Source organism: Homo sapiens, chromosome 15 (assembly GCF_000001405.40).
Source record: "Homo sapiens chromosome 15, GRCh38.p14 Primary Assembly".
NCBI classification, from domain to species: domain Eukaryota; kingdom Metazoa; phylum Chordata; class Mammalia; order Primates; family Hominidae; genus Homo; species Homo sapiens.
The window spans coordinates 82,039,748-82,057,022 of NC_000015.10; the positions used below are offsets into that span (position 1 = coordinate 82,039,748).

Genomic DNA, 17,275 nt, shown 5'->3' on the forward strand with positions numbered 1-17,275 from the left:
GAGATTGCCAAAATGGAGGGGTGCAAAATCATCCCCTCCCCTACCTCCACTGAGAGCTATTCTACCTAAAGAAATAAAACATGGAACAGTAATTAGGGGAAAAGGTGTCCGTTAGCTGGTATTTTGTTGCTGCAGAAAGACACGTTTCAGAGGGGTGGAGAAGTAGAAAAGGAAGCTGCTCGTAGCTGGAGGACATGAATGCGGCACCGCTCATCTTTCTGGCCAGAGGACTGTCACCTCCACAGCCAGTGGTCATGTCCACGGAAGTCACCTGGGGAAGCTGGAGGATGGGACAAAAGGCTTAACTCAAACCAAAAGTGACTGCCATCTAATATTAGCATGTGCCCACATCCGCTGCTGGTAACAGAGACCTGGGCTTAGCACGGGAGACCCATGTTAGAGAGCAGACTCTCCTCTCAAGAAGCCTAATTTTATTAATAATATAGCCCCAAACTTTATGTCAACAAAGGGAACCTCTCACTATAAAGAAAAAAAAATACAGGCCATCCTAAAGTATGTTGGCAGCCTTAACATCTGATCTTTTTTCAGTTCCCAAAGTGGCACATGAACCACAAAAATATATGAATGAGTAAGGGCCCATTAGATATCAACCAATCAAGGCTTTTTTATTTTTTCCTTGCATTGTCTGTAATTATTCTGCTAAAGCAGAAAAGCAAAGTTACATGACTAAAGAAAGTTACATGCAAAAAGAATCTTGGTTCTGTTCTAGGCATTTCCAGACAGCTGAAGGAAAGGGGGACTTGGACATGGTGACATTTCCCCTTGCCAGGCCTCAGCTAACCTCCAGTCCTTGAGAGAGAAGCGAAGGGGGTAAACACTGCCTGGGAACTTTCCAGAGCTGAAGATGATGCCAGAAATTTTCCAAGCAGAGCCACTCCTTTTACTCCTCCCACCCCAAAGACCTGTCTACTGCCTTCACACACATCGTGTAAACCAACTGAATCAGGAGCTATGTAGGCAGTGACTAAATTATCAAACAGGTAAAAATTAACACAAAAGGAAGAAGGACTACCAAGATCAATTTATACTAATCTACTCTTCAGATTCACCTGCTGAGATGAAAATAAATGCCTGCCATACTCCAGTCAGATACTGTTCTCCAGGGGCAACTCAGCCAGGAAGTTTGCTGGAAATTCAGTGGCATGCTCTGGTCATTCCTAAATACTCTCTAGAAGACTGAGTTCAGGTTAAGTGACAGCACGTGGCTCCTCCCCTTGACAAAGCCCCACAGCCAGGGAGCAGGTGGAGCCTGCCAAAAGCAAACAAAAACTTCCCTCAAAGGACAACAAACACTTGACACCGGCAGCCTGTCAACACCAATTAGTCTGCCCTACAAGCAGAAGCCTATTAAGACCAGTGCTCAAATCCAGGAAGGTTCTCTGCAAGCAGAAACTGTCATCCCTTCTTCCTTCTTCGGCTTCCCCAAGGGAGTGACCTTCAGTGGAAACTCGCAACAGAGCTGAAACCAACTTCTCCCTGCCACAGAGCAGGCATAGGGCCTTAAGACCCACTATCCTCTCAGGGGCCCATGCCAGGTGGAATGATGACATTCCCTGGCCCTTTTTGCCTTCCTCACTAATAAAATCCATATTAATATTTATTTTTGATATCTTTAATTTCAATATTTTTCTTAATGTTTCAGGCAAAATGAAATGGTTTGTGGGGCTGAAAACTAAAACAGTTTTTGAATATGTTAATTTCCTTTTTTTCTAATTTTTAAAATAAATTAAACACTTTCCTGAACCCCTAAAAGTATCATGCGCCCTAGGCACTGTGACTTGTGTGTCTAATGGAGGCCCTAATTCAGTAGATACCTGCAATTTTTAGAAAAAATACCATTACCCAAGGCCACCCATCCAACCAGACACAACCCTGGCCTGTTTTGAAAATCCATTCTATTCATAATATACAAAATGTACCTGGGAATTCCATATTTCAACTTGTCAATTTAAAGTGATCCCTTACAGTTAAGATTCCAAGAGGCTTAAAAAAAAAGTCACCACACAAGATAAGATTTTCTTCAATATTTTATTTATATAGAAATACTTAAAAAATGAAGTAGCACCATTACTTAAGTTTTACCTTTATTATGTAGAACTTTAAATGTCAGAAAAATAAAACTCTTGATACAATTTCAAATCTTGTCTCAGCAAATATAATATTAGTATTTGACCATGAGGTTAAAGGCCCTTTATCATAAAATAAAATATACTTTGTTTTTTAAACTTTGCTCAGTAAAGTACATTTAAGCTCAAGTAACATCACCTACATATACATAAACAAGTGGTAAACAAATGTATTAAAATAGAAATACTAAAACTAGAGTGGTGCAACAGAATTTTTGTAACTTGCACTGAATTCTATTTATACAAATGTTAGAAAGCATCAACAGTTCTTTTTGACATGTTTATACATTTCCGTTTTTGTAATAATATAGAATAAAATATGCTTTATATCACTGAATAGAAAATATGCTGGGTGAAGCAGATCTAGAAGATTTGTCTGAACCTATAAAATCTCCATCCCAACAGAATACTGTTCAAAACATTACACATTTTATGGTTGTAATTCCGTCACAATTGTGTGATTATTAAAATAATACAGTGTTCTTTGCCATAAGGCCATACTAAAATAAAAAGATTTAACCCAGCTACAAAAAAGTTCACTGAACTTAAATTAAAATACTTGTAAACATCTTTGCAATATGAAATATAATTTTTCAAGTCAAAAAAGAATAAAATACTTCAATCTGTATTAATGCAATTTCTCTTTAAAACTTTTAAACGTTTTTAATATATAAGAGATATGTTACAGTTTCTTTAACTTTAATAAAGCTGCAGTATCCTGGTTTCACAGGAACTCCTGGCCCTTCCACGAACATTCAAAAAGGATCCACTGTGTTCTATAATAAGTATCATAGGAACCCACCCACAAAGGGGAACACACTAAACAGTCCACACATCCCATAGCACTACTATCATCTTCATCATAATTATTACTGTTCATTTTTTCCTACTTTAAGAAAATGGAAAACTTGTGGGGTTTTCTTCTTTTGGAAGCTTCCTATTAAGTACAGTGTAAAAACTATCATTACTAGAATGTCGCCGTTCCTATTATTTATAGAGCATGCATTTCAGGTGTTCAGGTTTCCCAGGCTACAGTACTCTTGATGCAGATATCCTGGCAAATTCCTTTACTTAAAAATTAAATTTTAAAAATGAGCGGATACTACAGCTTTCCAAGCTCCTCTCGGATCTCAGAGTGTTGGTGGGGCCGGGAAGGAGAAGGGAGAGGGGGGGCACCCAGGGAGGCAGGCGAGCGCTGGGGAAAGAGGGTGGGGAGGGGTTCCCCCTTCCCCCAGCACGGTGCGCACTAGCAGCGCCCGCTGCCTTTAAGAAAAGATGCGGATGGCCTGAGTGACCGCGGTGTGGCAGACCGGGCACTCGGGCTCGCTCTTCTCACAGATGCGATTGGCGCACTCCATGCAGAAGAGGTTGTGGCCACAGGGCACCAGCGCGGCAATCACTTCGCTCTCGAAGCACACGGAGCAGTCGCGGCTGCCTTTACGCCGAAGCCCGGAGGAAGAGGATGAAGAGCTGGAGGAGGAGCTGGACGAAGAGGAGGAGCCCGACGTGTCCGACGGCTGCAAGCCAGGCAGCTGTGCCCCCAGCCCGTTGGCATAAGCGGCGTAGGCCAGGCCTCCTCCACCCGGGTCGCTGCGCACCCGGCGAGCCAGGTGGTGCTCTCCCGCCCCCGGGGCCATGTGCAAGGGTGGAGACAGGCGCGGGCAGCTGGTGCCAGGGTGCAGCCGGCGGTGCACCAATAGCCCCAGGTTGGCGTTGGAGGGCGCACTGGCGCCACCCCCGGGGAAGACCACGGAGGAGGAAGAAGCAGACGAAGATGCAGAAGAAGAGCAGGAAGAAGATACCGGAGCTGCAGGTCCGCCTCCCGGGGACCGCTCGAACTGGGCCCAGATAAGTGGTGCCCCAGGTGGGGGAGCGGGAGCCGGGTCAAAAGTGGGCTGCAGCTCGGGGCAGCCGTCGGGGGATGGCACTGAGGCTTCTCCCCCCGCTGTGTAGGTGTACCCATTGCCGTTATTGTTATTGTTTCCGTTGTGCGCAAAGCTCAGGGCGGGGCTAGGGGGGCTGTAGTCCGCCAGGCGCTGGGTAGCCGCTGCGCTGCTGCTGGTCCCGCCGCCGAAATAAGAGTCTGTGGAAGCACTGCCAAGCGAGCTGGAGCTGTCGTTGCGGTAGCTAGAGAAAGGCTTGCGGCCGGGGGTGGGCGTGATGCTGGGGGTGGGCTTGCTCCAGAGGCTGCCTGGGCCGGACCCGCCGGACCCATGATGCAGATCGAAGCCCACATCGGTGCCGTTGGCGTGGAAGTCGTTCTCGTCTGTGAGCTCAATGATGCCGCCGGTACGCAGAGCAATGTGCGCCTCAATCTCCTCTCGAGCGCGATCCACGTTCTCTGGCATGCCGGTCACCTCGAACACCGGCTCCTTATCCCGGCTGGGCGTCACGATGTACGTGTGCGTCTGCTGCTGGATGCGCTTGATTGTGGCGCCTTTGGGCCCCACCACGAGCCCCACCACGCGGTAGGGTACCCGCACTTGGATGGTGGTCTGCCCGGGCAGGTTGGGCGGCCCAGGCACCGCGCCGTTGAGTGCCGTGTTCTTATTCCGGGAGGCGCGGATCATGGAGAAGTGCTCGGCAGCAGAGATGATCTCCCTCCGAGCCATGGCCACATCCTCCTTCCTGCCCGTCACAACAAAGACAGGCTCCTCCCCGCGAACTGGGGTCTTGATGTAAGTATTGGTCTTCGCCCGCAGCGCTTTGATTTTACAACCTACGAACCAGGGTGCGGAGGAGGGAGTGGGAGAGAGAGACAGACACGCCCATTATCCTGGGGTAACCGCGGGGACCGGGGACAGCCCGCGTCCAGGACAGCGAGACGGCAGGACAAGAGATGGGCGGAAAGGGGGCGTCTCCCTCACTGACCTCGGGCCGCGCCACGGGCTGGGCAGCGGATCCCACCCGCGAGGCGCTCGAGGAACAGCCCATTGGCTGCCTGGCCCTCCCCCAGTGACTGCAGTCGTCCCGAACCAAACCCGAGAATCCCAGAAAAGTCATCTGGGGAGATGCCGCTGGGATCCAGCTGGGCGCGCCGTCAGCTCTGAAGACACGGGGAAGGGGCTCGGGGAAGGCAGCTGAAGTCGCGATGCCTCAGCGCTGGTCGACTGGGGGTAGGGGGTGGGGTGTGAGTCCCGGGACCCATTGTTCCTCCTCTGGGCTCCATTCCGCTTTGCAGAAATCCAGAATCCTCCTCCCATCCTATGCTCACTCCTCCTCCTTCCTCCTCCCAAAGGACTGATCAAAGGCCCCCTCCCCCAAGCATCTTACATTTAAATTGTCTTTCTGGAGGTGGGCTGGTTGGGGGGCGTTAGGGGAGAAGGCAGTGATTTTAGCAGAAGAAAGTGCATCCCGCCAGGGCAGCGGCGCGGCTCCGGGAGACAGCCTGCCTGCACTTTCTTTGTCTGGGGCGCCGGCCCATCGCGCGGCTCTTCCTCTCTCCCCAAGGCACCCCACGCCGCGGATCCCGATACTGAACACGCCTTCCCCTCGAGGCAGTGGCCTGAGACCCTACACCACCCCCACCCACCTCCCCATCCCTCCTCGACCTACCTTGCCGCCCCACGATCTCGGCGACATGCTCAGAACTGGGTACTGGCACGCACTCGGTCATGTTCACGCTCTTCTTGCGCGGCTCGCTGTCGTACAGAGAGGCGCCCTCGTCACTGTCCAGCCCCAGCAGGGAGAGCTGGTCGAGCGCGAGCTGCAGGGCTCTTTGGTCATCCAGGGTCTCTCCCCCTCCGCTGCTGCCGCCGCCGCCGCCGCCGCTGCCGTTGCGCTCCAGGTCTGCGAACAGCGAGCTGGGCATCGCTCGGCCGTGCGCGCCGCGCCCCCGCCGGCCCTCGGCTCGGCGGCGAGAAGCTGCGGCCACAAAGGCAGCCGGGAAGCGGGTGGTCAGGGGCGGGGAGGCCGGTCGCCTGCTGAGGGCTCCGTTGCTTCTTCCTCGGTGCTGGGAGGAGTGGGTCGCTCCGTGCGGTCCGCACCGGGCAGTGGCTGCAGGAGCCCCCACCTGGGTCCCCACCCCAGACCTGCTGGCGGGTGGGGTGGGGGCAGAGCTCTAGCGGTGGCCGCGCGTGCCCCCCGAGTGCCCGGCTGGCTGGCCGCAATGCCGAGCGAAAAGCGAGCAGGCGAGCGACAGAAGCGTTTCTTTAAGGAGCCCCTCCCCGGCTCCTCCACTCCCTCCCTCCCGCCCGCCCGCCCGCCCTCACTCAGCGCTTTTTCCTCCTCTCCTCCCCGCCTCTTGACTGAGCCTCTGCAGCCAGACGACTCCGGAGGGGGACGAGGGAGGCGCAACGTCACAGGCGGGAGCTGACACCACAATGCTACTGACACTATCGCTGGGGGAGGCGATTGGCGCGCGCCAGGCCGGGGGCGGGAGGAGGCCGCGGGTTGAGCGAGCGGAGAGAGAGCGCCACCCCCCACCCCCGCGCTCGCCGCAGCCCGCCCCGTCCTCCTCCCGGCCGCGCCCCTCCCCCGCCGCCGCTAACGCCTCTCTTTGTTGTCTAATGCGGGACTGGCAGGCTCGGGACACTTGGATGTACCTATCAGCCGAGGACAATCATTGTCCCTAAGTCTCCTCCCTCGCCTGACTGAGAAAAGAAAACGCGCCCAACTCTGATGCCTGGAGCCGGGCTCTAAAAGAGCGGTCCTCAGGAAGTCCCGTTAGTGGCTCCAAATAAACCATCCGTGGAGCCAAAGCTTCCTCTGTGAGAAGAGTCTGTAGTCCGCCCAAAAGGGCGACCCGAGCCCTCCGACACGGAAAACGGGACTCCAGGTCTTGGGGCGCACGGGCAGAGTGACTCCCGGCGCGGGTTGTCCACCTGCGCGGGAGCGCACGAGACACAAAAGCACACGCCCGCCCACACTGGCAACCGCGCGCGCGCGCGCCCGCGCCTGCATTTCTGTCTCCTTGGGCAGCACTTCGCCCAACTGGCCCTGAAACTGAGGATGGGAAAGCTAAAAGCTGGCTGCCGCGCGAGCTCGGCCCGCCCGGCCGCTGGCGACCTCTGGAATGCATGGCACCAGTGTCCAGCACACGCCCGGCGCCCGGGCCGAGACCCTGCGGGTTCTGACACGCGCACGAGCGCCGCGCCGCCACCGCGGGGACGCAGGCCACAGCGCCAGCGGGCGGCGCGGGCGTGCGCGCCCGCTGTTCCCATCCCTCCCCTCCGTGCCCCGCGGCCGAGCATGCGCAGTGCGCGCGAGGAGCGGGCGGGCCCTTTAAGGCGGGCGCTGCGGAGCGCGCGCCGGCCCCGCCCGCGGCCCCGCCCCGACGGGAGGTGAGCGCTCCCTGCCCGGCCGCTCTTTGTGCGCTTCTCGGGGTGGGGGTGGCGGCAGAGGGAGGTTGCGACGGCACTTGCCGGCGAGGACGGCGAGCTGCGCCCCCTCCCGGATCTCCCAGGGACCGTCTCCGAGTGCGAGAGAGAAGGAAGGAGGATTTGAGGGGCGGGCCGGGGCGGTGCGCGCTGGTCCTCTCCGCGCGCATCCCCCTCCGCCGCCCACTAGGGCGGACGCCCCTTCGGGCCCCGCGCGCTCTGCTGTCCTTTGTTCCGGGAGCCGCCGGGCTCGCCGCGCCCTTTGCGTCCCGCTGCGGATCGTTCCGCAGAGCGGCTGGGCCCGCGGTTCATAGAGTCGCCCAAGATCCTCACAGAGGGACGTCTTCCCAAAACAATGAGGCCATGCGGCCGCAGCCGCACACGGGCTGACTGGGGAGATCTCGTGGTGCCGCGGGGCGGTCCCGGGGCTCGAAGGCAGAGGCTCCCCTAGGTGTGCCCTGCCTGACCCCGGCTACAGGAACGAGCGCTGTGGGCCTCGGTTTCTCACCCGTAAAATGAAGAAAATAATCCCCGCCTTTACCACCTCGTGGGTCGTTCGGAAGATTAAATGCGACAGTGGATGGGCGCGCGCTTACAAATCAGTAGACAGTTCCGCAAGCGCCTTTACTTTTGAGAACGCGGTGGTGCAGCTCCCTTCACCGCTTGCTTACCTGGAGCTGTCTTGGGAAAGAGGTGCTGATTATTTCCTTGGGGAAATGGGTTTAGAAGCCACTTACAGTGGTTATTTCCTCAGGATGTTTACGTCAGCTTCCCGGAGCCTGGTGTGTGTTTTTCTTAAAAAGGAATGTTCGATGGGAGGAGGCAGGTGGGAGGATGGTGCCGAGTCCTCCGTGAAAACCACCACTTAGAGCTCCAGTAGGAAATTACTGTATTCTTTTGACCCGGTTTATGGACTTGGAATCCAACTAACTTGGGAATGAGGGTTCTTGCCGAGATGGAGGGTTTTGAGTAAGGGGTCCTGGCTGGGGAGAGCCAGAGATGAGGCCCAGCCTCCCGCGCTCACGCAAGGCCTGTAAACAGAAAGCAGACTGGAAAGGCGCTTGGAGCATTTCCATCTTTTTAACACAAAGGGCTAGTTTCTCGCCTCTTAGCTCTGTTTCTTTGAAATTTCATAGCCTTCGGATTGGGCCTGCTGAGGTTTCTTTTTTTTTTCCAAGTAGAAAATATGGTGACAGTAAAGTTGTTCCTCCGCTGATAAGGAGCTGTGCACGGATAATGGGGTGTAGGGAGAGGTTGCTTCTGCTAGGGAGCTTGGCCGCTAATAGTTTCAGACCTGCCATAACTCCTTCTCCTTGCATCTACAGCGATAAGAATTCAGATGGATTAATTCTGAAACGTGTTTAAACTTAGAGGATTGGATATTTCAGAGGAGTCCCTGGGTGGCTGGGTCATTACCCGGAAGGTGAATGCAACATTTCTCCAAGGTGACATGTTTAATGTCATTCTTCCCTGCTGGATCCTGAAGGCAGGACTTGTACTTGGCTGTAACTGCCAATGTTCAATGAAATCATACATCTTCACCCACATGAAGGATAAGCTGAACCCCTTACCATAGGAATTCATGGAAAGCTGCCGATCCTGAGGTGCCCATGTTCATGTAGCCCAGGTCACCCTCCACAGAGAGGAACACTTGAGTAAAACCTATACAGAGATCCGCATGCTTTTCTGAAGACACCCACAAAAGCGAAGGCACTCTCAAGAGCATGGGAGGGTGGTGAGAGTGATAGAAGCAGTTACTATGTCTGACAGATCTAGTTTCCAGCCCCAGCTGTTCTTCAGTGTTGGCTGTCAAAAGAGGACGGCATCCAGCTTCCCACCTACCTCATAGGGTTGCTTTAGCGAGACGGATAATGATAGCAAAAGCTAACTCGTAAATTCCCAGGTACTCAGCAAATGTAGTTGGCGCTTTACTCACAGCTACTCCTTGCCTTCTCTATTTGTATACCTTACTGACTGGTCAGGATATTTTCCGACACTTGACTGCTGTTGTAAAAGTAACAATCCAGAAATTTTAATTCTCAGTTAGTGGCTTTAATAAGCCAAGATATTGTAAAACTTGCAAAGTCCGGTTCTGTTTTTCAATAGATAATACATCCTAACCCCATAGTTTCTGGATAGACTTTCCCAGGCTCCTTTAGGACCCCAGAGCTTAATTACTTTTCCTGATGCAGAACACATTCCCTAAGGACTTCTCGATGTGGCCATAATATTTTTTATTAGCACAGGAGAGAAGCTTGCAGAATGAGGTCTGGCAGTATAATAGAGAATTTCAGTTGTCATAAAATGAGAAAAAGTAAAGTTATCACACAAAAACAAGATTAATGATGAGGCAACCTTGTTTTGTTTCCAGATGTCTCAAAACTATTTTGTGCACATCTTGCTTACTTTTGCAAATTAAATAGCTTGCAAAAGAAACGGAAATCTTCCTGTGAAAACAAACACATGCTCAGTCAACTCATTTAAGATTATTGAGCACCTCCATACTGTATTATAGGCACAGAGAGAAGTATCGATTATACTGAACTGAAATGAACAAAGGTGGCAGAGGGGCAGGATAATGTCTTTTCCTTGAATACTAGTGATGTCCAAACCCAGTCACACAGAGAGATAAGTGCCCAGATAGTAGTGAGTCGGCTTAGGGTCCTAGAAGGGCTTCCCAGAGGAGGGGATACCTGAGTTGTGCTTCCAGTGAATGTGGTGTGAGAATGAATTGAGACTGGAGCCTAGCACAGTGCATAGCATCTAGCAGGAACTCCTAAATGCTTATTAAATGAGTGAGTGAGCCAAGCTGCAGCATCTTGAAGGTGTAACTTTAGGTATGTACAGGAATCGCTCAGTCTCTGGGAAGCAGCTCAAATGACACCAGCCACAATGACATGATTTTGAATAAAATTAGTAATCACAGGTGACCCTTATTAAGCACTTATTATGTGCCAATGTGCCAGGAAGTTTACAAAATGCTTTACAATACAGTATCTTGTTTAATCTTTCTAACTACTCAGAGGCAAGCACTTTTATTATCCCCACTTTACAGATGAAAATAAGTCACTTACCCAAATAAAGGCAGATTTGCCTCCAAGCAGATGAAATGAAGCTACAGGGCTCCTCACTTAACACAGACCCTTCCAAGGCCCTGGAAGAGGTCCTAGCAATATACTTACAAGATCACATGAAATCACTAAAATTTTCACAGGTAAATGTTTTATTATTTTCTTTAAGGAGAACCCCTAAAATGATACAGGCTTCGCGCCCCACAAATCTTAGATCCATTATTGTGCCCAGGGTCACACAGCTGGTATGTGGTACCCCGAGCCTGTGATCTTAACCAACGTTAAGTTCCTTCCTGTCTCTGAGCTATGCATTTTCAGCTGGAAGTTGGAAATATTTCCAGTCCTGCTTCTCACACAGGATTATAAGGATCACATGTGTGAGGGGACGTGAAAGCATCTTGATTTTTGATGTTCTCCTGTGTCTTTGTGTGGTTAAAAGTGTGTGTGACATATAACACATGTAACACACACACATTTTTAAAAATATTTTAATAATATAGGAAATGCTATCCTTATGTTGAGTGAAGAAGGAGACAATGTGTGTGTGTGCAGTGTGTATGTATGTGTTACTAAACACTTAGTAAGCATTAGAAACAGTGAATGAGTAGGCTACAAGGAATTGCATCAAAATTTTAACAATGCTTGTTTTCTTTTCCTTGTGATGGAGTCTTGCTCTGTCGCCCAGGCTGGAGTGCAGTGGCGCAATCTCTGCTCACTGCAACCTCGGCCTCCCGGGTTTAAGCAATTCTCCTGGCTCAGCCTCCCAAGTAGCTGGGATTGCAGGCACACGCCACCATGCCCAGCTAATTTTTTTTGTATTTTAGTAGAGATGAGGTTGCACCACGTTGGCCAGGCTGGTCTTGAACTCCTGACCTCAAGTGATGCGCCCGCCTTGGCCTCCCAAAGTGCTGAGATTACAGGCGTGAGCCACCGCACATGGCCAACAATGGTTATTCTTTAAGTAATGAGATCACAATTTTATTTGTATTTTACTTTTCTGTGTGGTTCAAGTTATGAACATACATCTTTATTCGATTAATTTTTAAAGTAATACGTCCTGAGTTTTAAAAATTAAATCATGCTAAAAAGCTTAATAAAATAAAACCACTCCCCAGTCCTGTCCTTGCTGTAAATAGAAGCAGAAAACAAATCTAAAGCTAATCCTAGCACACATTTATATGGGCCCTTACAAGTAGCTTGACTTCTAAAATTAAACATCACTTAGTTAATAATTGGTAATAACCATTTTGCAATATCAGAACAGAGTAAGAAAAATAGAAAGTAATTTTAAAATCTCTCAGAAATCAAGGAGACCGGAAACACAAACTTCAGGAAGAAGGTGCCATTTTTTCTTCCTGAGCAGAGATAAAATAGATCAGTGGAATTCAAATGTTTTTTACAGTTGAATCCTTTGTTTCCCAAAGTCGTAGGCTGAACTCATATCTATAAAACTGATGAAATCCATAGAAGGTTAGAATCGCAGGATGCTAGAGAGTGTGTGGTCCAACACACTCAGCTGACCGCAAGCTGAAGGCCAGAGTAGGAAATGGCTCCCCCCAACGTCAATTGCCCGTTGATATGGAGCCGGGCAGGAAGCCAGAGTGAGACATCCAGTGTGATGTGCTCTGTTGCTTTGTGATTTAAGGAAATCTGGTATTGTCCCTAGTGAACACCTTCCATGTTTCATGCTTTGGCTTTGGGGTAGTATCATGAGTCAGTATTGCTGATATCAAACCTGAGAGGTTGCTAAGAGAATCACTCCCCAAATGTAGATAGTAGACAATAAGGAAGGGGGCAGTAGTTCAGGATATTTAAAGACGGTCTCACTCACCATTCCTCTCCACTTTCCTTTCCCTGAGCTGAGGAATGCCTTTTGGTGAAGGGAATGTCTCAACGAACTATATAACCCTGCTTGGGGGAGACAGAGGAGGGACCAGCAGCCAAAGTTGTTCCACTGGGCGAATATCCTTTTTTTTTTTTTTTTTTTTGAGACAGTCTCCCTCTGTCGCCCAGGCTGGAGTGCAGTGGCGCGATCTCGTCTCACTGCAAGCTCCGCCTCCCGGGTTCACGCCATTCTCCTGCCTCAGCCTCCCGAGTAGCTGGGACTACAGGTGCCCGCCACCATGCCCAGCTAAGTTTTTGTAATTTTTTTTTTTTAGTAGAGATGGGGTTTCACTGTGTTAGCCAGGATGGTCTCCATCTCCTGACCTCGTGATCCGCCTGCCTCGGCCTCCCAAAGTGCTGGGATTACAGGCGTGAGCCACCGCGCCCAGCTACAGTGGGCGAATATTCTTAAAAGGACGTCCATACCATGGAAATAAAATAAAATGAGCAGTATGCATTAGCACATGATACCAGTCAGGCACAATGCTAAATACATGGACAACTTCTCATTTAACTCTCACACCATACCTGTAAGATATGTATTATCATTTCTGTTATATAAATTAACGTTTCTAAGATCACGTTTCTAGGAAGAATTGGAGCTAGCATTGGAATTCAGTGATTCCAGAATCCAGATTCCTGCTGACTTTCTCAAATAGAAATGTGCTCATAAAAAGACAGCCAGGACTACAAAAGGACTCAAAATCATCATATAAAATAAATAATTAACGGAACTATGACTTAGAGCTGCCTGCAGGCGGGGTGGCCCACCTCACTGCGCGCGCACGCGCGCGCGCGCGCACACACACACACACACAAACACACACACACTCCACTTAATTAGGAGACATCTGCCAAGGATGTGTGCACTGGCTGGATAGACAGGTGAATTTGGTGAGTGGTGACATTTTGAGTTTTCTTCAATTGGTCTGCTGACATTCAACTAGTCACTTAGCCTCTGAGCTTTGGTTTTCTCATCTGTAAAACAGGAATAATAGTTCCTACTTAGGTAAGTAACTCATATGGGCCCTTCTTTCCTGCCAGTGAGATGTAGATATGATCTAGTGAAATGAGGGTTTTCTTGTCAGCCTTCTTATAAAGCAGTAGAATATAGAGTGGAAAATATTTAAAATTGTTTCATCTTTACTAATACTTTATGTGATCACACCTGTTGTCATAACATTTTTTTAAAACAGCAAGAATTGCCTTTACGACCTAAAGAATTGTTGTGTCTCTATTAAACATCACCTTAAAAGTCAAGATGCTAATGCAATACAGCCACGATATTCTCACAAATAACTTTGAACTATCATCCTCTTTATTCTTATGATAAAATTATTTCTTTTCCATGCAATTTAATTAAAACAATAAAAATTATGTCAACAGTGCTGCTGAAATTTTAGCTAATAATAGAATCATTTTTATGTTCGTAAACTATATCTTATACAACTTTATTAAAATTATCCAGTTATCATTGTACTAAAATGTGTATGCAGCCATATAAAGAGTCACTGACCTTGAAAACCAAAGAAATAGCAGTTAAAGAATGCTTTCGGGTAAGCACAATTATTAGTAAACCTAGCCAAAGAGTTTAAAATATGAACCATGGTAAGTTCCACATCTCAGAAAAAAAGAAAGAAAATAGTCTGTAACCAGAAAACTTTAAGAAGCATTATAAATAGAAAGTATATAACGAAACACAGGGAAACATATGAAATCATTAAACAACCAAATAAATAAAACAAATACTAAGAAGTCAGTAATAATAGATATGAGGAGAAAATGCTCCGACTTGAAGGAGATTGATTCTCAGGTTGGATCTGCCCCACTTTGCAGAGGTTATGATCGTGGTCCCTGCAGCTAGACTGCCTGTGTTTCACTGTTCCTGGACCTGCCTTGTTTTTGTGACCTTGAGCAAGTGTCTCTTCTTTCTGTGCTCAGTTTCCTCATCTGTAAAAGAAGGGTGCTTATGGTACCTCCCTCGTTGCCGATACAGGAGACATTTGCAGATTCTAGTGGTGATGCTCACATAATTGATCAACTTTGAAAAAGAAGAAAAATGGCCAGGCACAGTGGCTCATGTTTGTAATTCTAGCACTCTGGGAGGCTGAGGTGGGTTTGAGCCCAGGAGTTCGAGACCAGCCTAGGCAACAAAGCAAGACCACTGTCTTTACAAAAAAAAAAAAAAAAAATTAGCTGGTCATGGTGGCGCACCCCTGTAATCACAGCTACTCAGGAGGCTGAGGTGGGAAGATGGCTTGAGCCCAAGAGGTTGAGGCTGTGGTGAGCTGTGATCACGCTGCTGCACTCCAGCCTGGGCAACAGAGCAAGACCTTGTTCCCTTCCCCAACCCACCCAAAATAAAAGGGAAAAACAAGAAAACTAAGCAGCCCTTGCGCTCTGCTGTATTAACTGTTATGCACCTGCAAGAATTAAAACGGTATATACTGGCATCAAAAGTTAACTAGATCATTAAAATTGACTTACAGGTTTAGAAAGAAACCCAAATTGAAAAAAAGTATTAACTATGTGACAAAGGTAGAAATGTAAATGAATGATGAGGGGAAAGATTATTCCAAAAATGATGCCGAGACAACTGGCTTTTTAGAAACATTATATTAGATTGATTTTTTTTTTTCTTAACCTCACAACAACACCGCAATAAATTCCAGGTGGGTTAAGGAATTAAGTTTCAAAAATGAAATCATAGAGAAGAATCAAATGGAATGTATGTGACTGCTTCTGTAATTGTGGAGTAGGGGAAGGGCTTTTTGAATATGGTCCTAATAGAGGAAATCATTTTGTGAAATACCTATATAAGGCCAGGCATGGTGGCTCACGTCTGTAATCCCAGCACTTTGGGAGGCCAAGGCGGGTGGATCATGAGGTCAAGAGATCGAGACCATCCTGGCCAACATGGTGAAACCCCATCTCTACTACAGATACAAAAATTAGCTGGGCGTGGTGGCACGTGTCTGTAGTCCCAGCTACTCGGGAGGCTGAGGCAGGAGAATCGCTTGAACCCGGGAGGCAGAGGTTGCAGTGAGCCAAGATAGCGCCACTGCACTCCAGCAACAGAATGAGAATCTGAAAAAACAAAACAACAACAAAAAAACACCTGGGAAACCACTGGTATCAATACACATAAACTTGGTGTGTATGTTTTAAAAGGAAATCAACTTGAACTAAAATAGTAAATGAATAATATTATAGTTAGTTCTCAGATTGAATAAGAAATATACATAATGGCCGAGTATGGTGGCTCACACTCCTAATCCCAGCACTTTGGGAGGCCGAGGCAGAAGGATCACTTGAGCCCAGGAGTTCGAGACCAGCCTGGGCGACATAGTGAGAGCTCATCTCTACAAATAAATGCAAAAATTAGCCAGGCATGGTGGTGCACATCTGTAGTCCCAGCTACTCAGGAGGCTGAAGTGGGAGAATTGCTTGAGCACAGGAGTTCGAGGCTACAGTGAGCTAGGATCACACCACTGCACTCTAGCCTGGGCAACAGAACAAGACTTTGTTGATAGATGATAGATAGATAGATAGATAGATAGATAGATAGATAGATAGATATAATGCAAGTATTTATGAGTGAGTGAATATGTCTTCATGCATGAAGTGAAAGGAGCAGGAAACAATTGTTAGTTTATAATATGCATGGAGCACTTATATTCTAGGAGTATGTTAGTTGCTCTCTTTTAATAATGTCAATAATCCAACTAAATAGGTACTATTGTTGTCTCTATTTTTGCCCTAAGGAAACAGTTTAGCTGGTAAGTGGCAGGCAGATCCATGCTGTCCAAAGTCAGGGTCCTCCCTCACTTTTCATCATCAAGGTACACTAACAGGTGAACTATAGAATTATATATGTACACACACGTGCACACACATGCCCACACATATAAATGCACAAATATACATATATATGTGTGTGTGTTCCTATTTGCCCACGTGGAATACATCTAAATATTCAAAAGTTATAAACCAAGCTATCAGCTGCTGAATAGGACTATTGCAGGAGGTTTGAACCTCTTACCCTGACAAATAGACCTTCATCATGACCTGAAAGGCCAGGTTAGAAGCTACAACTTCCAGCCTCCTGAGGTTCTGCCCTGAACCCTGGCCACACAGAGAGAGGCGGGCCTGGGTCAAGAGCCATGATTCACACCTCCCTTCATTCCCCCTACTGAACTGCAGGCTCCATCCCACAATGGGAGAGGGTCTTAGGCACATGTGTGCAGACACCACAGTTCCATCCATGGCTCATCCCCTACAAATAGTCACTCCTTGGACACCCCTTGGGCCTAGGGCATGCACACTTGTGGTGGAGACCTGCGTGAACTGTCGGGGAGAAGTCCCCACAGATGCGGAGGAAGGGGAAGGGGAGCATAGGCTTAAAGTCCCACCGGGACTTCATACTCTAGGAAGGGGCACAGCCTGAGGACAGCGACAGTGAGATCCTACAAAGCATGGGCCCAGAGCAGGGGCCTACAAATGACTTTTAACTATTTGAGTTAGAAAATAACGTAAAATAACTATTGAGACAAGGACTATTATCTCCATCTTATGTATGAGAAAAAGATCACAGGCAAACCTATATACTGTTGGGCAGGATGATTGTAAAAAAAAAAAAAAATCCTTCCACCTGGAACATTTCTTTTTTTCCGTTTTCCTTTCTCCCTTCTGTTCCTTCCTCCCTTCCTTTTCTCCATTTCTTCCTTCTTTCCACAGATATTTACAGCATGAGCTATGTGCCAGGTACTGTGTGGGCACTGGAGTTCAGGGTAATTAAGACAGAAAAGCTCTCAGGGAGTTTAGAATCCAGTGAGGAGACTAGCATTGATCACAC

The 17,275-nt window shown here is 48.4% G+C and overlaps 1 protein-coding gene across 1 annotated transcript, besides 3 other annotated features; it reads right to left on the minus strand.

Annotated features, from left to right (window-relative positions):
• Positions 1 to 2,030: 2,030 nt before the first annotated feature.
• On the minus strand, positions 2,031 to 6,271 carry MEX3B (mex-3 RNA binding family member B). The gene is made up of 2 exons (NM_032246.6): positions 5,703 to 6,271; positions 2,031 to 4,866 (listed from the first exon to the last, which is right to left on the minus strand). Exons 1-2 carry the CDS (start codon positions 5,956 to 5,958, stop codon positions 3,413 to 3,415), a joined length of 1,710 nt encoding a protein of 569 aa, NP_115622.2. The 5' UTR covers positions 5,959 to 6,271; the 3' UTR covers positions 2,031 to 3,412.
• Positions 6,051 to 6,350: a silencer, noted in NCBI's record as "silent region_6744". NCBI's record gives its function as "represses an Ori minimal core promoter by ATAC-STARR-seq in GM12878 lymphoblastoid cells {active_cell/tissue: GM12878}" and the evidence as "EXISTENCE:reporter gene assay evidence [ECO:0000049][PMID:35858748]".
• Positions 6,574 to 7,520: an enhancer, noted in NCBI's record as "H3K27ac hESC enhancer chr15:82338662-82339608 (GRCh37/hg19 assembly coordinates)". NCBI's record gives its function as "activates a minimal SCP1, AML or CMV promoter by ChIP-STARR-seq in primed H9 embryonic stem cells {active_cell/tissue: H9 hESC(primed)}" and the evidence as "EXISTENCE:reporter gene assay evidence [ECO:0000049][PMID:30033119]".
• Positions 7,201 to 7,520: a silencer, noted in NCBI's record as "silent region_6745". NCBI's record gives its function as "represses an Ori minimal core promoter by ATAC-STARR-seq in GM12878 lymphoblastoid cells {active_cell/tissue: GM12878}" and the evidence as "EXISTENCE:reporter gene assay evidence [ECO:0000049][PMID:35858748]".